General features: G+C 38.7%; 1 protein-coding gene across 2 annotated transcripts in view; it reads left to right on the top strand.

Moving 5' to 3' along the window:
- Positions 1-19,263, top strand: part of CNTNAP3 (contactin associated protein family member 3) — a 223,458-nt gene that overhangs the window by 149,975 nt on the left and 54,220 nt on the right. The window contains exon 13 of one of the 2 annotated variants that reach the window (NM_001393379.1): positions 5,061-5,261. In NM_001393379.1, coding sequence (NP_001380308.1) covers positions 5,061-5,261 — 201 coding nt within the window. Of the gene's footprint in view, positions 1-5,057; positions 5,262-19,263 lie in introns of both variants that reach the window. The other variant, NM_033655.5, reaches the window with a different exon arrangement.

Raw genomic sequence — 19,263 nt, 5'->3', positions numbered from 1 at the left:
TCAAGAAAAAATTTCAGCTGGACCTATAATCCTATTACTTTTTGAGAAGCTGAGGAGGGAAGATAGCCTGAGACCAGTTTTAAGACCAGTCTGGGCAACACAGTGAGACCCCCACCTCTACAACAACAACAACAACAAAAAACAGCATTGTGACAACAACAACAACAAAAAACAGCATGGTGACATGTATCTGTAGTCCCAGCTACTTGGGAGGCTGAGGTGGGAGGATCGCTTGAGCCTGGGAGTTGGAGACTGCAGTGAGCCATGGTCACACCACTGCACTCTAGCCTGGGCAACAGAGAAAGACCTTGTCTCCAAAAAAAGAAAAAGAAAAAATTTCAAGGCAAAAAACACACTTTGAAGAGACAGAGCAAGCATTAAAAACAGACGGTGGCTCACGCCTGTAATCCCAGCACTGTGGGAGGCTGAGGCAGGTGGATCACGAGGTCAGGAGATCGAGACCATCCTGGCTAACACGGTGAAACCCTGTCTCTACTAAAAATACAAAAAAAATTAGCTGGGCATAGTGGCGGGTGCCTGTAGTCCCAGCTACTCGGGAGGCTGAGGCAGAAGAATGGCATGAATCCGGGAGGCGGAGCATGCAGTGAGCTGAGATCATGCCACTGAACTCCAGCCTGGGTGACAGAGCAAGACTTTGTCTCAAAAAAACCAAAAAACAAAACAAACAAAAACCAGAGTCAGATATGGCAGGGACATTGGAATTATCAGACCAGGACTTTAAACAACTATAATTAATATGGAAAAAGCTGTAATGGATAAAATAGATAGCATGCAAGACCAGATGAACAATGTAAACAGCAAGATGGAAATTCTAAGAAGCAAAAAGGAGTGCTAGAGATCAAAAACAGCATAACAGAAATGAAGAATGCCTTTGATGGGCTTATTAGTAGACCAGGCACAGCTTTGGAAAGAATCCCTAAGCTTAGAGATACCTCAATAGAAACTTGCAAAACTGAAAAGCAAAGAGAAAAAAAGACTGAACCCAACCCCCCGCAAAAAGAAAACCCAGAACATAATATCTGAGTACAGTGGCACAACTACAAAAGGTGTAACATACGTGTAAAGAGAATTCTAGGAGAAGAAAGAAAGAAAGGAACAGAAGCATATTTGAAGAAATAATGACTGAGAATTCCCACAAATTAGTATCAGACACCAAACCACAAATCCAGGAAGTTTAGAGAACACCAAAGAAGGAGAAATGCCCCCAAAACTCTACCAGGCTTATATTTTCAAACTATAGAATTCAAAGATAAAAGTAAACTCCTTTTTTTGAGATGGAGTTTTACTCTCATTGCCCAGGCTGGAGTGCAATGGTACGATCTTGGCTCACCACAACTCCGCCTACTGGGTTCAGGTGATTCTCCTGCCTCAGCCTCCTGAGTAGCTGGGATTATGGGCATGTGACACCATGCCTGGCTAATTTTTGTATTTTTAGTACAGACAGGGTTTCTCCATGTTGGTAAAGCTGGTCTTGAACTCCCGAACTAAGGTGATCCACCCACCTCAGCCTCCCAAAGTGCTGGGATTACAGGCATGAGCCACCGTGCCCAGGCCAGGTAAAAGTAAATTCTTAAAAATAATCAGAGGAAGAAAGCACCTTACCTACATAGGAGATAAGTATTACAGCGACTTCTCTTCAGAAATCATGCCAGCAAGAATGGAGTGAGATACTTAAAGTGTGAAAGAGAGAAAACAAAACAAAACAAAACCTTCTCCTTGAAAAGTGAAGAAATAAAGATTTTCTCAGACAAATGAAAGGGTCAGTTCTCTAAAAGAGATAACCTTAATATGTATGCTCCTGACAACAGAACAGTGGATCTTATTTTCTTTCTTCTTCTGGGACATATAGGAATGGGTATACCAGATGCTGGGGATTTCATATGATATACTAAGTAAATTTTAAGTGCAGACAATCCCCGTTTACAATGGTTCTACTTACAATATTGCGACTTCACTATGTGAAACCATATGCATCCCTATTTCAAGTACCCATACAACTATTATTTTTATTATTATTATTATTATTATTATTATTATTATTTTGAGACAGAGGCTTGCTCTGTCACCCAGGCTGGAGTACAGTGGCACGATCTCGGCTCACTGCAACCTCCACCTCCCAGGTTCAAGCGATTCTTCTGCCTCGGCCTCCCCGGTAGCTGGGACTACAGGCACGTGCCACCACGCCCGGCTAATTTTTTGTATTTTTAGTAGAGATAGGGTTTTACCATGTTAGCCAGGATGGTCTCGATCTCCTGACCTCGTAATCTGCCTGCCTCGGCCTCCCAAAGTGCTGGGATTACAGGCGTGAGCCACCATGCCTGGCCACAACCATTATTATTATTTTCTTTTTTACTCTCAGTACAGTAGTTAATAAATGACATGAGATATTCAACACTTTATTATAAAATAGGCATTGTGTTAGATGATTTTGCCCAACTGTAGGCTGATTTAAGTGTTCTGAGCACATTTAAGTTAGGCTGGGTTGAGCTAGGTTCAGTAGGTCACATGTATTAAAGTGCATTTTTAATTTATAATAAGTTCATCTGGATGCAACTTCATCATAAATTGAGGAACATCTGTACTGTTAATTCCAATCAAAATCATGAAGTTAAATTAGCTTAATTTTCAAAGTCGGATATTTATTTGAGCAACAGGAGTGGAACAGGGATCAACGTGTTACAGTTACCCTCCTTCTGGGCTAGTGAGACAGCCTCCAGTGTGTTCAGACTCAGCCACACCTCTGATCCCCTTTCCACATTTAGCCACTGTTATAATTAATCTACTCAGGTCCAATTCACTTGAGCCCAGGAGGTCGAGGCTGCAGTAAACTATGAAGGTGCCACTGCACTCCAAGCTGGGCAACAGAGGGAGACCCTATCTCTAATAAAAAAGAAAAAGAAAAATATAAGGGTTATATTAGATGCTCTTTAAGATCCTTTCCAGTTCCAATATGCTTATAATCAATTGAAATAAATTATGAGCAATTAAGGAAACCACAATGGTCTATGTCCTTCTTTGGGTGTTTTACTACTGATATTATAAGGAGAAGTGAGTCAAGTGGAATTTTATAAACACAAATGCATAGCCTATAATGTCCCTGGTTACTATTCTACTCTTCAGAAAAACAAGTTTTACAGATGTATTCTGAACAGTTCCCTTCTCAGTACTGAGGGCATTTCTGTGATCACATCTTAACCATGGGTGACTGCAAATCTATCATACTGCCCACCGGCCTATGTGAACTACTCTGGACCATCATTTCTCTCCCATTGTACAACAAATCATGAACACATGGCCAAAAATGGCATGTGGTTGATCATCTTCAATGCCCAACTTAGTGTTCCATAGGTTTTTCTATATTTGATTCAGTTGATAGGAAAACTCTGAAGGTGAGAGTAGGTGATGTGCACAGAGTAACACCAGGTTGTAAAAATTCTAAAATGAGGCCAGGCGTGGTGGCTCACACCTGTAATCCCAGCACTTTGGGAGGCCAAGGTGGGTGGATCACCTGAGGTTGGGAGTTCAAGACCAGCCTGGCCAACATGGTGAAACCCCCGTCTCTACTAAAAAAATACAAAAATTAGCCAGGTGTGGTGGTGTGTGCCTGTAGTCCCAGCTACTTGGGAGGCTGAGACAGGAGAACTGCTTGAACCCAGGAGGCAGAGGCTGCAGTGAGCTGAGATAGCGCCACTGCACTCCAGCCTGGGCAACAGAGCGAGACTCTTATCTCAAAAATAAATAAATTAAATAAAAAATCTAAAATAAAAAAAATAGAGCAATATTAAAGGAAGAACCCATGGAATTGAAATTACCATAGGCACACTTAGAGCCTCCTTTGGTGAGTACAGTGAGTGGAGTGATAATTTAATTTAAAATTGCATTCATTATTTAAATTTGCAGATTTTTTTCTGTACTTGTGGCTCATTTGTGGATATCACACCTTTCCTCTCCATGGGTTCTGTGACTAAAGAGATATTTCAGTAGCATGGCTGGTTTTCTTTTCCTTCTTTCCTCTGATCTCTGTTGTTAGGCGTGTGTAAGTAACAGTAAGGCTGTGAAATTTGTCTTACGCACAGTTAGCAGCCAAGCCATTAGAAATCCTGAGATGTGAAGGGCTGGCAGGGTGATTTCTCAAGGTAAAATGTATCACATTGTTTTGTTTCGTAGTTCTTAAAAAATCCCCATACGAATGTTTCTTCATTTCTCCAGTTCGGAAAATTTTTATGTAAAATGTCCATTATTCTAAATACATCTTATTAGAGGTTAAAGGACCAGACAGCACCAGCATAGTAGAATTAAAGTGACTTCAAGTCTGGTGGGAGGTCCATTTTTGGGAACACTAAAGAACTCAAGATGCACTTCTTCCCTTTTGAGATTGTGGAGTCATTTTGTTTTTATTTCATCAAAACAATATAAGTAATCAAGTGACAGAGATACATCAGAAATGATGTCAGCAGGCAGTCAGATGCTCAGGGTCACCGCCTGGAAAGTGCTGTTAGAAGCTCAAGGCCTCTGATTCCTCTGGGCTTGGTCACTGATGGATAAGCTGACATAATTAAACCACTTTATTTTAATAGAGCTGCTTCCTATCATACCTGTGAGTATGTGCGTCACATCGTCCCAATATGTATCTTTTATAAATTTATTCGATAATGAAAGAAATAGAGGCACATACAGATGAGGAAAATGCAGATGAGTTTAAAAAGATAAAGGTCCAGGTAGTAACAGTTTGGCCCCATGCTTGTGTTGATATAAAAAAATGGTTTTAACAACTAAAAAGTCATTGCTTACATGATACACTTTTAGGCGTGACGTCACAAAAGTTTGGTCATCAGTTCTTCCAATATGCTTTCTCTTAGAGGCTGAGTTCTGGCTCAGTACATTGTTACACAGGTCCAACTCCTCAAATCGCGGCAAACATGCAGTAATGTAAATTTCAATTAAACGTTAATTCACATAAAAGACAGGTCTGCTTTGCCTCTTGCTGCTGGCCTCTGCCGTCCAGTGATGCCTCTCCTTTGCCCGTTTCTGCTCAGCAGACGCCGCGTGGACGGTGGTGCAGCACGGTGGCCCCGACGCGGTGACCCTCCGAGGTGCCCCCAGCGGGCACCCGCGCTCGGCTGTGTCCTTCGCGTACGCAGCGGGCGCGGGGCAGCTGCGGTCCGCGGTGAACCTGGCGGAGCGCTGCGAGCAGCGGCTGGCTCTGCGCTGCGGGACGGCGCGGCGCCCGGACTCACGAGGTAAGCGCCACTCCTGGAGGCTACAGGGGTTCACGGGGCCGGGGCGCGGCCCTCGGGCTGCGAGATGCGTTTGAGGGAGAAAAGGCCAGGGTCCCTCCCGTGGCTCTTAGTTCAAAGCCCTGACCACTCTCTCCTTCTCTTCCCGCTCTTGGTTGGACCAAAGAGCATTCAAGAGCGCCTTCCTGACCGTTGAGAGACGTTCAGCGCGTTCATATGCAGGACTAGTGACTTGTCCTTTCTTAATCAAGGGAAATTTTGCTGATAACTTATGCCTTAGCTTTCCGTTCACACTGAGGAGATAATGGCTGTAGGGCAGGCTGGGTCTAACAATTCTTCATGAAGACCAGTGGGAACCGGTAACCACCTTACTCTGGTCAAAGTCTTCCTCTAAATCTACCTGGAACGTTTGTTTCCTCCCTTTAGATTAACTGAATATGCCCTTCCTCAGCCCCGCCACTTTCACTGTGGTCTAGGATGAAATAATGACTAGGGTTATTAAAACCTTTTGTCAGTGGGTGTCTCATTTTTTTGAAATTATATCTTGAGAAATGTATACCTTAATCTTCATATATGGAAGTAATGTTTTGGAAACTCTGCCTGCATCAAAACCATCTTCTCCTAAGTTAAAGACCAACTTCCCCCTCCTTTCCGGAATCCCCACAAGTCCCCTGCAGGACTCACTGCTGCTCTCCAACAGTTTCCATATAGTTTCTTGAAAGCACTTTATTGCTAATTATAGTTAAATACTGAAATTTGCCTTTCTTTTTTTAGTTTTAGCAATCCCAAATAGTATATAGGCGGGAGGATCACTGGAGCCCAGGAAGTCCAGGCTGCAGTGAGCTGTGATTGCTTCACTGCCTCCAGCTTGGGCAGCAGAGCAACACCTTGTCTTAAAAAAACAAAAACAGTATATGTCGGTAGCATAATAAAGCCACTTAAATTAAATTTCACTCTTTAATTTTCAATACAAAATCTTTAAGTTGGAAAGTGGTGTATGACTGTCATCTGAAGGTGGTTTGCGCTGATCCGCTAACCCATACCTGCATTGCCTTCCCTAATCTGTCTGGCCAATCAGCCCCTGGAATATGCCAGACCATTTCCTCTGCCTGGATTGGCCTCTCTGTCACCCAGGCTGGAGTGCAGTGGCACGATCTTTGCTCACTGCAACCCCCTCCCCTCCCGGATTCAAGCGATTCTCCTGCCTCAGCCTCCCGAATAGCTGAGAATACAGGCGGGTGCCGCCATGCCCGGCTAATTTTTGTATTTTTAGTAGAGACGGGGTTTCACCGTGTTGGTCAGGCTGTTCTTGAACTCCTGACCTCAGGTGATCCGCCCGCCTCAGCCTCCCAAAGTGTTGGGATTACAGGCGTGAGCCACCGCGCCCGGCCCTCACACTCTTAAATCTTACCCACTGTGCTAGACCTGTGCAGTCGGCATCTGGGTCCCTTCCCAGGGTGATCCCTCTCTCCCCTGGATGCCTGCCAGCCAATTTGGTCTAGTAGAAAGAGCAAAGGTCTGGTTGCATTCAAAGTTTGAAGTTCAAGTGGTAAGTCTGTCACTTAGCAGCTGTGGAAATTTAGGCCATTCCTTAATCTTTCTCAGACTTTGTTTCCTCTTTGATGAAATGGACCCTGTAGTATTGATCTCATGGGGTTTCTTTTATAAATGAGATAGCTTACATAAGTTCAGTAAGTAAGAAACTCTCCTTCCCAGTTCTCCAGTTTTTTAAAGTTGGCATTACAAAACTTAATTATTTGTTAGTTCATTGCTGTTGAATGAAGTGTAGCCTTGGCTTTGGAATTGTTTAAAAAAAAAATCCCCAGGTGATCTTTTGGAAACTACTGGGCTAGGGGCTAAAATAACACAAGAAATGGAATATTCTACTCCCATCAGTGAGAATTTCCCTATTTCTCCTCTTTTGAAAAGATAATTTAAAAAAAAATTTGAGATAATTGTAGATTTACATACACTTGTGAGAAGTAACAGAGAGAACCCGAGTAGCCGTTAAGCAGTTCCCCCACCCCAAGGTGACATCTTGTAGAAGTATAGTGCAATATCACAGCCGGAATCTTGACATCCATACAGTCAAGATACACAGTATTTCCATCAGCACAAGAATTCCTCCTATTGGCCGGGCACGGTGGCTCATGCCTGTAATCCCAACACTTCGGGAGGCCGAGGCGGGCGGATCACGAGGTCAGGAAATCAGACCATCCTGGCTAACATGATGAAACACCGTCTCTACTAAAAATACAAAAAAGTAGCCAGGCTTGGTGGCAGGTGCCTGTAGTCCCAGCTACTTGGGAGGCTGAGGCAGGAGAATGGCGTGAACCCAGGAGGTGGAGCTTGCAGTGAGCCGAGATGGCGCCACTGCACTCCAGCCTGGGCGACAGAGCAAGACTCCGTTCCATCTCAAAAAAAAAAAAAAAAAAAAAAGAATTCCTCCTATTGCTCGTTAATAACCACTAGTATGTTCTCCATTTCTATGGGTTTTTTTAAATTTCAAGAATGTTATGTAAATGAAATTATATAGTATGTACTCTTTGTGGTTGAGTTTTTTTCACTCTGTGTAATCCTCTCTAGATTCATTTGCATAATTGTGTATATCAGTAATTTGTTCCTTTTCATTGCTGATTAGCAATCGGTGGCATGGATATACCAGAGTTTATTCACTCATTGAAGGGCATCTGGGTTGTTTGTTTACAGTTTGGGGCAATTATGAATAAAGCTTTTATGAACATTGTGTACAGGTTTTGTGTGAACATCAGTTTTCATTTCTCTGGAATTAATGCCCCAAAGTGCAATTGGTGGGTCATATATGGTAATTGCATACTTAGTTTTATAAAAAGCTGCCAAATTGTTTTCTAGAATGGTTGTACCATTCCCACCAACAGTGTATGATTTCATTTCCTCCACATGCTCATCAGCATTTGGTGTTGTGACTATTTTTTATTTAAGCTATTCTGATAACTGTGTAGTAATATCTTTATTGTGGTTTTAATTTGTGTCTCCCTGATGTCTAATAATATTGAGCATGTTTTATATGCTTATTTGCCATCTGTATATCGTTTTCAGTGAGATAGATGTCTGTGAATGTGTTTTTGTTGTTGTTCATTTTCTAATTGGATTGTTTGGATTTGTTTTGTTACTGTTGAATTTTCAGTTCTTTATACATTCTAGATACTAGCCCTTTGCTGGATATGTGATTTGCAAATATTTTTTCCCACTCTGTTGCTTGCCTATTCATCGACTCTTAACTGGAATTTTTTAGAGCAAAAGTTTTAATTTTGATGAGATTCAGTTTATCATATTTTCCTTTTATGGGTTGTACACATCGTGTCAATTCTAAAAATTCTTTACCTAACCCTAAATTCCAATTCCAAAGATTTTTGAATTTTTTTCCTAAAAGTTTTCTAGTTTTACCTTTTACTTTTAATTCCATGCCCTATTTTGGGACACATTTTATATAAGATGTGAGAGTTGATTCTCTCTCACTCTCTCTGACTATGAATGTTCAGTTGCTCCAGAACCATTTGTTGAAAAGGCTATCCTTCCTGCATTGAATTGCATTTTAAATATTGTTAAAAATTGGTTGAACTTACTTGTGTGGTGGGTCTGTTTCTGCATTCTTTATCTGTTTCATTAATTTATATGCCTCCACCAATATCACACTGTCTTGAACATGGTAGCTGTATAGCAGGGTTGAGTTATTCCTCCTGCTTTATTCTTCTTTTTCAAGATTGTTTAAGTAAGTCTGTAGCTTGCCTCATTCTGTATAAATTTTGTAATAAATTTGTTTATGTCTACAAACATCTTGCTAGAATTTTTATGGGAATGACATTAAACATAATAGCTCAATGAAGGGAAAATTGGTGTTTCACTGTTTTGAGTCTTCCAATCCATGAACATGAGATATCTTTCCATTTATTTGGATCTTTGATTTCTTGCCTCAGCATTTTGTAATTCTTAGCATCCAGAGATTATATGTTTTATAAGTATGCTTAGGCATTTAGTTAGTTTCTTGATTGATTATAAGTGCTGTTGTGCTTTACATTTTTGTTTACATGTTTCTTGTTAGAATATGAAATATGATTGTTTCATACTAATCTTATAAGCTCTTTTTTGAACTTAATTTTTTTTTAGTTTCCTTGGGATTTTCTATATGGAAAATCATGTCATCTGCAAGTAGAGTCAGCTTTATTTCTGCCTCGTCAATCTGTAGGGAGTTAATTTATTTTTCTTGCTTTATTGCAGTAGCTAGACTTTCAATCCTAGGTTGAACTAGAGTGGTGAGGGCAGACATCCTTGCCTTGTTTCCTGTCTTAGGGGAAAAGCATTCATTCTTGTTTCCTATGTTATGTGGAGGTAGTTCCCTTTTATTCCTGGTTGGCTGACAGTTTTTATTTTGAAAGGACATTGGATTTTTGTCAAATGTCTTTTCTGTGTCAATTGGTATTAAAATATTATATTTCTTCTTTTGTCTGTTGATATGTTGAATCAGCTTTGCATAACTAGAGCAACTCCCATTTTGCCATAATGTATAATTTAAAAAATACATTTCTAATGTGTTTCATTTATTAATATTTTATTGAATATTTTTGCATTCAAATTCATAAGAGATATTGATATGTAGTTTTCTTTTTTCATATTGTCTTTATCTGGTTTCAGTATCAGGACAATACTGCCTACATAAAATGAATTTGGTAACATTCTCTAGTCTCCTGTTTTCTGGAAGAGATTATGTAAAATTGACTTTAATTTTTATTTAAACATTTGGTAGAATTCTCCAGTAAGGCCCGGCAGGGTGGCTCACGCCTGTGATCCCAGCACTGTGGGAGGCTGAGGCAGATGGATCATTTGAGGTCAGGAGTTCGAGACCTGCCTGGCCAACATGGTGAAACCCCGTCTCCACTAAAAATACAAAAATTAGTTGGGCGTGGTGGCGCACACCTATAATCCCAGCTACTCAGGAGGCTGAGGCAGGAGAATCGCTTGAACTTGGGAGGCAGAGGTTGCAGTGAGCCAAGATCACACCACTGCACTCCAGCCTGGGCAACAGAACGAGATTTCATCTCAAAAATAAAAACCAAAAACAAAACAAAACAAAAAGAATTCTCCAGTAAAACCATCTGGGCCAAGAGATTTTTTTTTCAGTAATTTTAAATTATGAATTCAATTTTCTTAATAGTTACAATTACTTAAATTACCTATTTAATGTTAGGTGAATTGTGGTAGTTTGTACTTTTTGAGAAATTTGTCCATTAATCTGAATTGTCAAGTTGATTTGTGTAGAATTATTTATAGTATTTTCTTATTATTTGTTTGATGTCTCCAGCATCTGTAGTGATATCCACTTAAATTTCTCATATTCATAGTTTGTCTCATCTGTTTTTGTCTCTGTCAGTCTTGATAGAAGTTTTTCAATCTTACTGTTTTTTAGAACTAGATTTTCGATTCATGATTTTCTCTATTATTTTTGTTTCAAATTCTATTGAAATCTGCTCTTCTCTTTGTTATCTCCTTCCTTCAGCTTGTATGAGTTAATTTTGTTTTCTAGTTTCTAGAGGTAAGAACTTACATTATTGGCTTTAGGGCTTTCTTCTTTCCTAATGTAGGCATTTAGTGCTACGTTTTCCCTATCAACACAGTTTTACCTACATTTCACATATTTTGATATGTTGTATTCTCATTTTCACTTAGTTTTTCATGTAGTTTCATTTTCATTTAAGTATTTTAATAAATTTCTTTGAAGCATATTCTTTGACCTGTAGCTTATTTAGAAGTGTATTTTTAAAAATTTCTAAGTGTTTAGAGATTTTCTTTTTCTCTTTCTGGTATTGATTTCCAGTTTGATTCCATTATGCTTAGAGAATATACTTTGTATGATTTTAGTTCTTTTAAATATGTTGAGGTTTGTTTGGCTCGCCGGGATATGGTCTGTCTTGTAAATGTTTCATCGGCATTTGAAAAAAAAATGTATATTCTGCTATTCTTAAGTGGAGTATTCTGTATGTATTTCAGTGAGATCCTGTTGTTTGATTATGTTGTTCAGATCTTGTATATCCTTGCTGACTTCTTGTCCAGTAGTTCTGTCAGTTGCTAAGAGAGACATTTTGAAATCTGTACTATAATTGTGGATCTGTTTATTTTTCCATTCTGCTCCATCAGTTTTCTTATATTAATAGGCTTTATATTTTTTAGCAATTTTAAGTTTACATAGAAATTGAGCAGAAAGTACTGGAAGCATATGATTTTTATTCTTTAGCTTGTTGATCTGATGGACTATATTAATTAATTTTCAAATGTTAAAGGCATATCTAGAGTAAATCCCACTTGGTTGTGGTGTTCATTTTTAAAAATTGTTTGGTTCAATTTGCTAATATTTTTTAAGGATTGCTTCATCCATGTTCAAGAGAGATATTTGTTTGCAGTTTACTTTTTTGTAAGGTTTTGCTGGTTTGGGTATTAGGGTAATGCTGGCCCATGGAATGAGTTAAGAAATAGTCACTCTGCTTCTATTTTCTGCAACAGATTGTGGAAAATTGGTATCATTTATTTCTCCAGTGTTGATAGAACTCACCAGTGAATCATCTGGGCTTGGTACCTTCTGTTTGGGAAGGTTATTAATTACTGGCTTAGTTAAAAAATTTTGTTTCTCTCGAGACTTTCTCTTTCACCATGTTTTATTATTTAGAAATGTGTTTTTAAATTTTTTGGTATTTGAGGATATTTCAGCTCTCTTTCTGCTATTATTAGTTTAATTCCATTCTAATTCAAGAACATGCCTTTTGTGATTTCTATTCTTTTAAATTTGGTAAAGTGTTCTGTGGCCTAGAATGTGGTTTAACTTAATGAATTGTGCATTTGTATTTGAGAAGAATGTGTATTCTGCAGTGTCTAGATAAAATATTCTACAACGCTAATTGAATTCTAAAGTATTCAGTTAGATCCAGTTGATTGATGGTGCTGTTCAGTTCAAATCTATCCTTAATGATTTTCTTCCTGCTGAGTCTGTCACTTACTCATAGAGGGGTGTTGAAGTCTCCAGTGGTAATAATGGATGTGTCTCTCTGTCCTTGCAGTTCTATCAGTTTCCCCCTAATATATTTTGACTCTTCTGTTGCTAGGTATATACACATTAAGCATTATTATATCTTCTTGTTATATTGACCCCTTTATTATTGTGTAATACCCTTTTTCATCTCTGATAATTTTCCTTGCTCTGCAGTTGGCTTTGTCTAAAATTAATTTAGATACTCTGGCTTTCTTTTTGGTTAGTGTTACCATGGTATATCTTTCTCTAGCTCTTCAAATCTACCTGCTATTTTATATTTAAAGAGGATTTCAGTAGACAACATGTAGGTGGATCATGGGTTTTGTTGTTGTTGTTTACTCTGACAGTCTCAGTCTTTTATTTTATTATTATCATACCTTAATTTCTAGGGTACATGTGCACAACATGCAGGTTTGTTACATATGTATCCATGTGCCATGTTGGTGTGCTGCACCCATTAACTCATCATTTACATTAGCTATATCTCCTAATGCTATTCCTCCCCTCTCCCCCCACCCCATGACAGGCCCCAGTGTGTGATGTTCCCCTTCCTGTGTCCAAGTGTTCTCATTGTTCAATTCCCACCTATGAGTGAGAACATGCAGTGTTTGTTTTTTTGTCCTTGCGGTAGTTTGCTGAGAATGATGGTTTCCAGCTTCATCCATGGCCCTACAAAGGACATGAACTCATCCTTTTTCATGGCTGCATAGTATTCCATGGTATATATGTGCCACATTTTCTTAATCCAGTCTGTCATTGATGGACATTTGGGTTGGTTCCAAGTCTTTGCTATTGTGAATACTGCCTCAGTAAACATATGTGTGCATGTGTCTTTATAGCAGCATGATTTATAATCCTTTGGGTATATACCTAGTAATGGGATGGCTGGGTCAAATGGTATTTCTAGTTCTAGATCCATGAGGAATCGCAACACTGTCTTCCACAATGGTTGAACTAGTTTACAGTCCCACCAACAGTGTAAAAGTGTTCCTATTTCTCCACATCCTCTCCTGCACCTGTTGTTTCCTGACTTTTTAATGATCATCATTCTAACTGGTGTGAAATGGTATCTCATTGTAGTTTTGATTTGCATTTCTCTGATGGCCAGTGATGATGAGCATTTTTTCATGTGTCTGTTGGCTGCATAAATGTCTTCTTTTGAGAAGTGTCTGTTCATATACTTCGCCCACTTTTTGATGAGGTTGATTTTTTCTTGTAAATTTGTTTAAGTTCTGTGTAGATTCTGGATATTAGCCCTTTGTCAGATGGGTAGATTTCAAAAATTTTCTCCCATTCTATAGGTTGCCTGTTCACTCTGATGGTAGTTTCTTTTGCTGTGCAGAACCTCTTTAGTTTAATTAGATCCCATTTGTCAATTTTGGCTTTTGTTGCCATTGCTTTCTTAATTGGTATATTTAGACTGTTTACATTTAAAGTGATTATTGATACTTGGATTAATATTTGCCATATTGTAACTCTTTTTTATTTGTTGCCCTTGTTTCTTCTTTTTTTCCTGAATTCCCCTGTCACATTTTTTGTTTTAATTGAGCATTTTATATGATTCCATATCCTCACTTCTCCTAGAATATTAATTACATTTCTTGGTCATTGTTTTAGTGGTAGCCTTTGAGTATGAAATATACACTATAACAATCTACTTTCAAACAACACTATTCCACTTCATTAATGGTGCTGGTACTTTATAACACAGCATTTCCAATCCTTCTGTCTTATTTTGTATTACATTATTATCATTCATTTTACTTATTCATAAGCCATAATCACCCAATACATTGTTAGTATTATTTAGAGCTGTTACCTATTACATCAATTAAGAAGAAGACACTAGATTTTATTTTAAATTTTTTCTTCTCTAATGCTCCTACCTTTCTTTATGTATTTCTGTGTTTTTGACCTATATTGTTTTTCTTTTCTCTGAGGAACTTCTATTAACATGGCTTGCAAGGTAGGTCTACTGGAGAAAGATTTCCTCAATTCTGTTTATCTAAGTCTTTATTTCTACTTTACTATTTAGGATAATTTTACTGGATATAGAATTTTATATTAGTGTGTGTTTTCTCTCAACAGTTTAAATATTTCACTTCACTTTCTTCTTGCTTGCATGGTTCCTTAAGGGAAATCTGGCATAATTCTCATTCTTGCTCCTATGTAGGTAAGGTGTTTTATTTTACTCTGGTTTATTTCGAGATTTTATTTTTAAAAGATTTTATTTTAATTTTAAGAAAGTCTTCAATTTTTTGCAATTTGAATATGAGATGCCTAGGTGTGGATTTTTTTGTATTTAACCTGCTTGGTGTTTGCTGAGATTCCTGAACCTATGGTTTCATGTCTGTCATTAATTTTGAAACATTCTCAACTGTCATTATTTTAAATATTTCTTCTGGTTCTCACTCTCTTCCTTCTACTTCTGGTATTCCGATTATGGGTTACATAGGTTACACCGTTTGAAATTGTCCAACAGGGTCGGGCGCGGTGACTCACTTGCCTGTAATCCCAGCACTTTGGGAGGCCGAGGCGGGCGGATCACAAGTTCAGGAGATCCAGACCATCCTGGCTACCACGGGGAAACCACGTCTCTACTAAAAATACAAAAAATTAGCCGGGCGTGGTGGCGGGCGCCTGTAGTCCCAGCTACTCGGGAGGCTGAGGCAGGAGAATGGCATGAACCCAGGAGGCGGAGCTTGCAGTGAGCCGAGATTGCACCACTGCACTCCAGCCTGGGCGACAGAGAGAGACTCCATCTCAAAAAAAAAAAAAAAAAAAAATTATTGTCCAACAGTTTGGATATTATGTTTCATTTTTCATTCTTTTTCTCTTTGTGTTTAATGGAAAAATTTTATTGACGTATCTTCAAACTCACTGATTCTTTCCTCAGCACTTCCCAGTCTTCCCAGACTTTGATGAGGCCATCAAAGACACTCTACAATTTTTACTTTTAATCTCTGTATTTCCTTCTGATTCTTTGAAATTTCATATCTTTGTTTATAGTACCTATCTCTTCTTGCATGTTGCCCACTTTTTCAACATAGAGCCCTTAGCATACTGATTATTATTTCAAATTCTTTATCTGATATTTCCAAATCTGTCATATCTGCATGTTTGCTTGATTTGTCTCATAAGACTGTATTGTTTGGCTTTAGCATACCTTGCAATTTTCTGTTGAAAGCCAGACATGTTGTATTGGCAAAGGAACTGAGGTAAGGAAGCCTTTAATGTAAGGTTTTATGTTTATCTAGTTAGTAGTTAGGCTGAATTTGCTCTTTGCATAACTGTGGTGTCAGAGGCCAAAATTTCCTCTAAGGTTATTTTATTTTTCTTTCTTCCGTTTTGAGTTTTCCCAGAGACTCTGTCTTAAATAGGGTCTAAAATTGACAGCTCTTTCATTTTTAATCTCCTGTTACTATACAGGTAATGTACTGATGTGATTGATGATAAGGTGCGGGAAGAGGAGAAGCATCGTATACTCATTTTTTTTTAATGTTTTTATTTTATTTTAATTTTTTTGAGAGAGTCTCGCTCTGTAGCCCAGGCTGGAGTGCAGTGGCGCCATCTCAGCTCACTGCAAGCTCCGCCTCCTGGGTTCACGTCATTCTCCCGCCTCAGCCTCCCGAGTAGCTGGGACTACAGGCGCCCGCCACCACGCCCGGCTAATTTTTTTCTATTTTTAGTAGATACGGGGTTTCACCATGTTAGCCAGGATGGTCTCGATCTCCTGACCTCATGATCTGCCCGCCTCGGCCTCCCAAAGTGCTGGGATTACAGGCGTGAGCCACCGCGCCCGGCCAGAAGCATCCTGTACTCTTAGGATTAGGTCAGTCTTTTAGAGAACCTGTCTTCCTGGACTGTGACCTTCAGAGTGCTTCTCAGCTTCCTTCCCCTTCCCTTGGGTAAGAAAAGAAGGGTAGAGGGGGCTGGTGCTGGGTATTTCCATTCCCCTAGGTGGTTTAGGCTCTAGTAAACTAGCTTTTTGGGGGATTAGAATGTTGTTAAGGAGAGAACATAATGTTCTGCGCTTATTTCAAAAATGTTTTCTCCTTCCCTCCCCTTATGTCTTAGGACCCCAGGACTGGAGACATAAGAGCATTTTTTTTCCTATCTTTATTCTGAGAACTTGATGGGGCTCTTCCTGGAGATAAAACTCTTGAAGGTGTGTTGACCCTCTAAGGCCTATCCCCCACTCTAGGAGTTTTCAATCTCTGTAGCTTGTCCTTGCTCAGTATCCATCAATTAGTCAGTTACATTCTAAGTGCTTTTACCAGACTCCACCATCTGCTTTGGCTCCATTAGCTGTGATGCTGTTTTCACTTGTCTCTGCAGCTTTAGGAGTAATGTTTGCCCTATGACTTTAACTGTGTAAGAAGAACTGTTTATTTTTAGTTAGTGCAGCTTTTTTCTTGTTGTGAGAATGGGAGCGATGACTTCCAGACTCTTAACGTCATATCAGATTGGAAACCAGAAGTCTCAATTTTTGCCTCATTTTTTTAAGGGTGTATTGTTTCTTGCATATACATTTATGTCTTCCTGGTGATTTTTTTTAAATCATTATGTAATGTCCCTGTTCTAGTATTTTTGTTCTGAAGTCTATTTTATGAGATAGCCATTCTGCTTTCTTTCAAATTTAATTTTTGCAGAGTGTATTTTTTCCATCCTTTTACTTTTAACCTGCCTATGTTTATTTTGAAGTGAGTTTCTTATAAATTTCTCGTTGTGTTATTTTTTTTCAGTTGATTCTGCCAACGTCTAACTTTTGTTATATTTTAACCATTTACATTTAAGGTAATTTTTATAATTTTCTTACTCGTTGCTTGGTATTATAGTTTACATATGTGACTTACCACAGTCAACTTAAATATCTTCACTCTCATAATGAAATATGTAATCCTTATGTCTATTTGGGTCCTTTATCTTCCCCACTTCTAAATATCATTGTCTTGAGTATCATATGGTATTACAATTTTTGTGTCAATTATCATATGTCATTTCAAAAATTGATAAGGATAGTCTATTACATTTATCCATATTTCTTCTCTTTTCATTTTTTTCCTGATGTTCCAAGAATCCTTTGTTATATTTTCCTTTCTTTTTGAAAAACCTCCTTTAGCCATTCTTTAGGGAATGTCTGCTAGCGACAAATTATTTTAGTTTTCTTTTGTGTTAAAAAGGTTTTTTGTTGTTGTTATTGTTTTGGAGATGGAATCTCACTCTGTCGCCCAGGTTGGAGTGCAGTGGCACAATCTCGGCTCACTGCAAGCTCCGCCTCCCGGGTTCACGCCATTCTCCTGCCTCAGCCTCCTGAGTAGCTGGGACTACAGGCTCCCGCCACTACGCTCGTCTATTTTTTGTATTTTTAGTAGAGACGGGGTTTCACCGTGTTAGCCAGGATGGTTTCGATCTGACCTCGTGATCCGCCCACCTCGGCCTCCGAAAGTGCTGGGATTACAGGCGTGAGCCACCGCACCCGGCCTAAAAAGGTTTTATTTCCATTTTATTCTTGAAGGATAGTTTCTCTGGATATATAATTTATAGTTGACAATTCTTTTCTATCAGCCCTGAAAAAAATATGCCATTCCTTCTGGTTCTGTAATTTCAGATGAGTAATCTACTATCATTCAAATTAGGGTTCTTTTACAGGCAGGTAATGTGTTATTCTCTCAGGCTGCTTTCAAGATTTCTGTTTTGTTTTGTTTCCAAAAAGTTCAATTATGATGGATCTTGGTGTCGATATTTTTGGGTTTATCCTTTTTTGGACTTAAACTTTACTTCCTAAATCTCTGGGTTTGTGTCTTTCACCACATGTGGGAAGTTTACAGCCAGTATTTTTTCAGTACTCTTTCAGCACACTTTCTTCTCTCTTTTTGAGATTCGGATGATATTGTCTGATAGGACCCTATGGCTCAGTTCTTTTTATATTCAGTCTGTTTTCTCTTTTTTGGTCAGGTTAGATAAAGCCTATTGATGGGTCCTCAAGTTCAGTGATTCTGTCCTCTGTCTTTTCACTCTATTCTTGAGCCCATTCAGAGTTTTTTAAAAAGTTATGTTATTGTATCTTCCAGTCCTGGGGTCCTAAGCTTCCTCTTTCTACCTTTCAGAATTCTCTTCGGTTGTCTTCTGTATTATTTCCAGAATCTATCATTATACTTGGTGGAAATAGCAGGGATAGACAAGTCTACAAGATCTTTTATCAGTGTAGAAGTTCACCCACTTACATCTTTTTGCTACTGTTTCTAAAAAAAATACATTTTTACTACTTTATGGGGAATATGGGAGATTTAGGTGTAAATTTACACTTGTACATTAGGATATAGTGAGTGTTTTGCTCTTTAATCTGCGACAGTTTAATGGTGAAGTCGGTAACTTTTAAAGTGGCATTCCGAGAAGAGTGTATTAATTTTTAAAAATATCTTTTACGTTGTAGTGACAAGGTTTTAGCACATTTTTAAAAGATTCCTGGTACTAATTCCTCTTTAAATTTTCCCAGATTGCCTTTTTTTTTTTTTTTTTGGCAGAGGGGCAGGTGATGGATAGTGGTGGTGGTAATGAATGCAGAGATCTTATCTATGGATGAGTTATAATTGAGTTGTAATAAGCAGTAAGGTAGAAGCTAAGTTCCAGATCTCAATTCATATTCCAATGGTAACAACCTATTGAAATTTGAAAAACAGCACCACATGATCAAGCATCTTTAAAAAACTGGTTGAGTTAATCCAATTTCATTTTCCTCATGGCCTCATCTGTGATGACTGCAACTTGTGGCCCCTGACCCCCTTCCTTTTTTAAGATAGGTGGCCTGACACCTGCTTTTTAAATTATCCTAACTTTACTGTGATGTGCAGTCAGTCCATCACCCCAATCTTCACTCCCAACCCCTGGCAGCATCCCTTGTCCTAATATGCAGTTCTATAGATCTGAGTTAGTGTCTGACTCTAT

This window comes from Homo sapiens, chromosome 9 (assembly GCF_000001405.40).
Source record: "Homo sapiens chromosome 9, GRCh38.p14 Primary Assembly".
Classification (NCBI taxonomy): Eukaryota; Metazoa; Chordata; class Mammalia; order Primates; family Hominidae; genus Homo; species Homo sapiens.
This window is presented reverse-complemented; position numbering and strand designations above follow the sequence as displayed.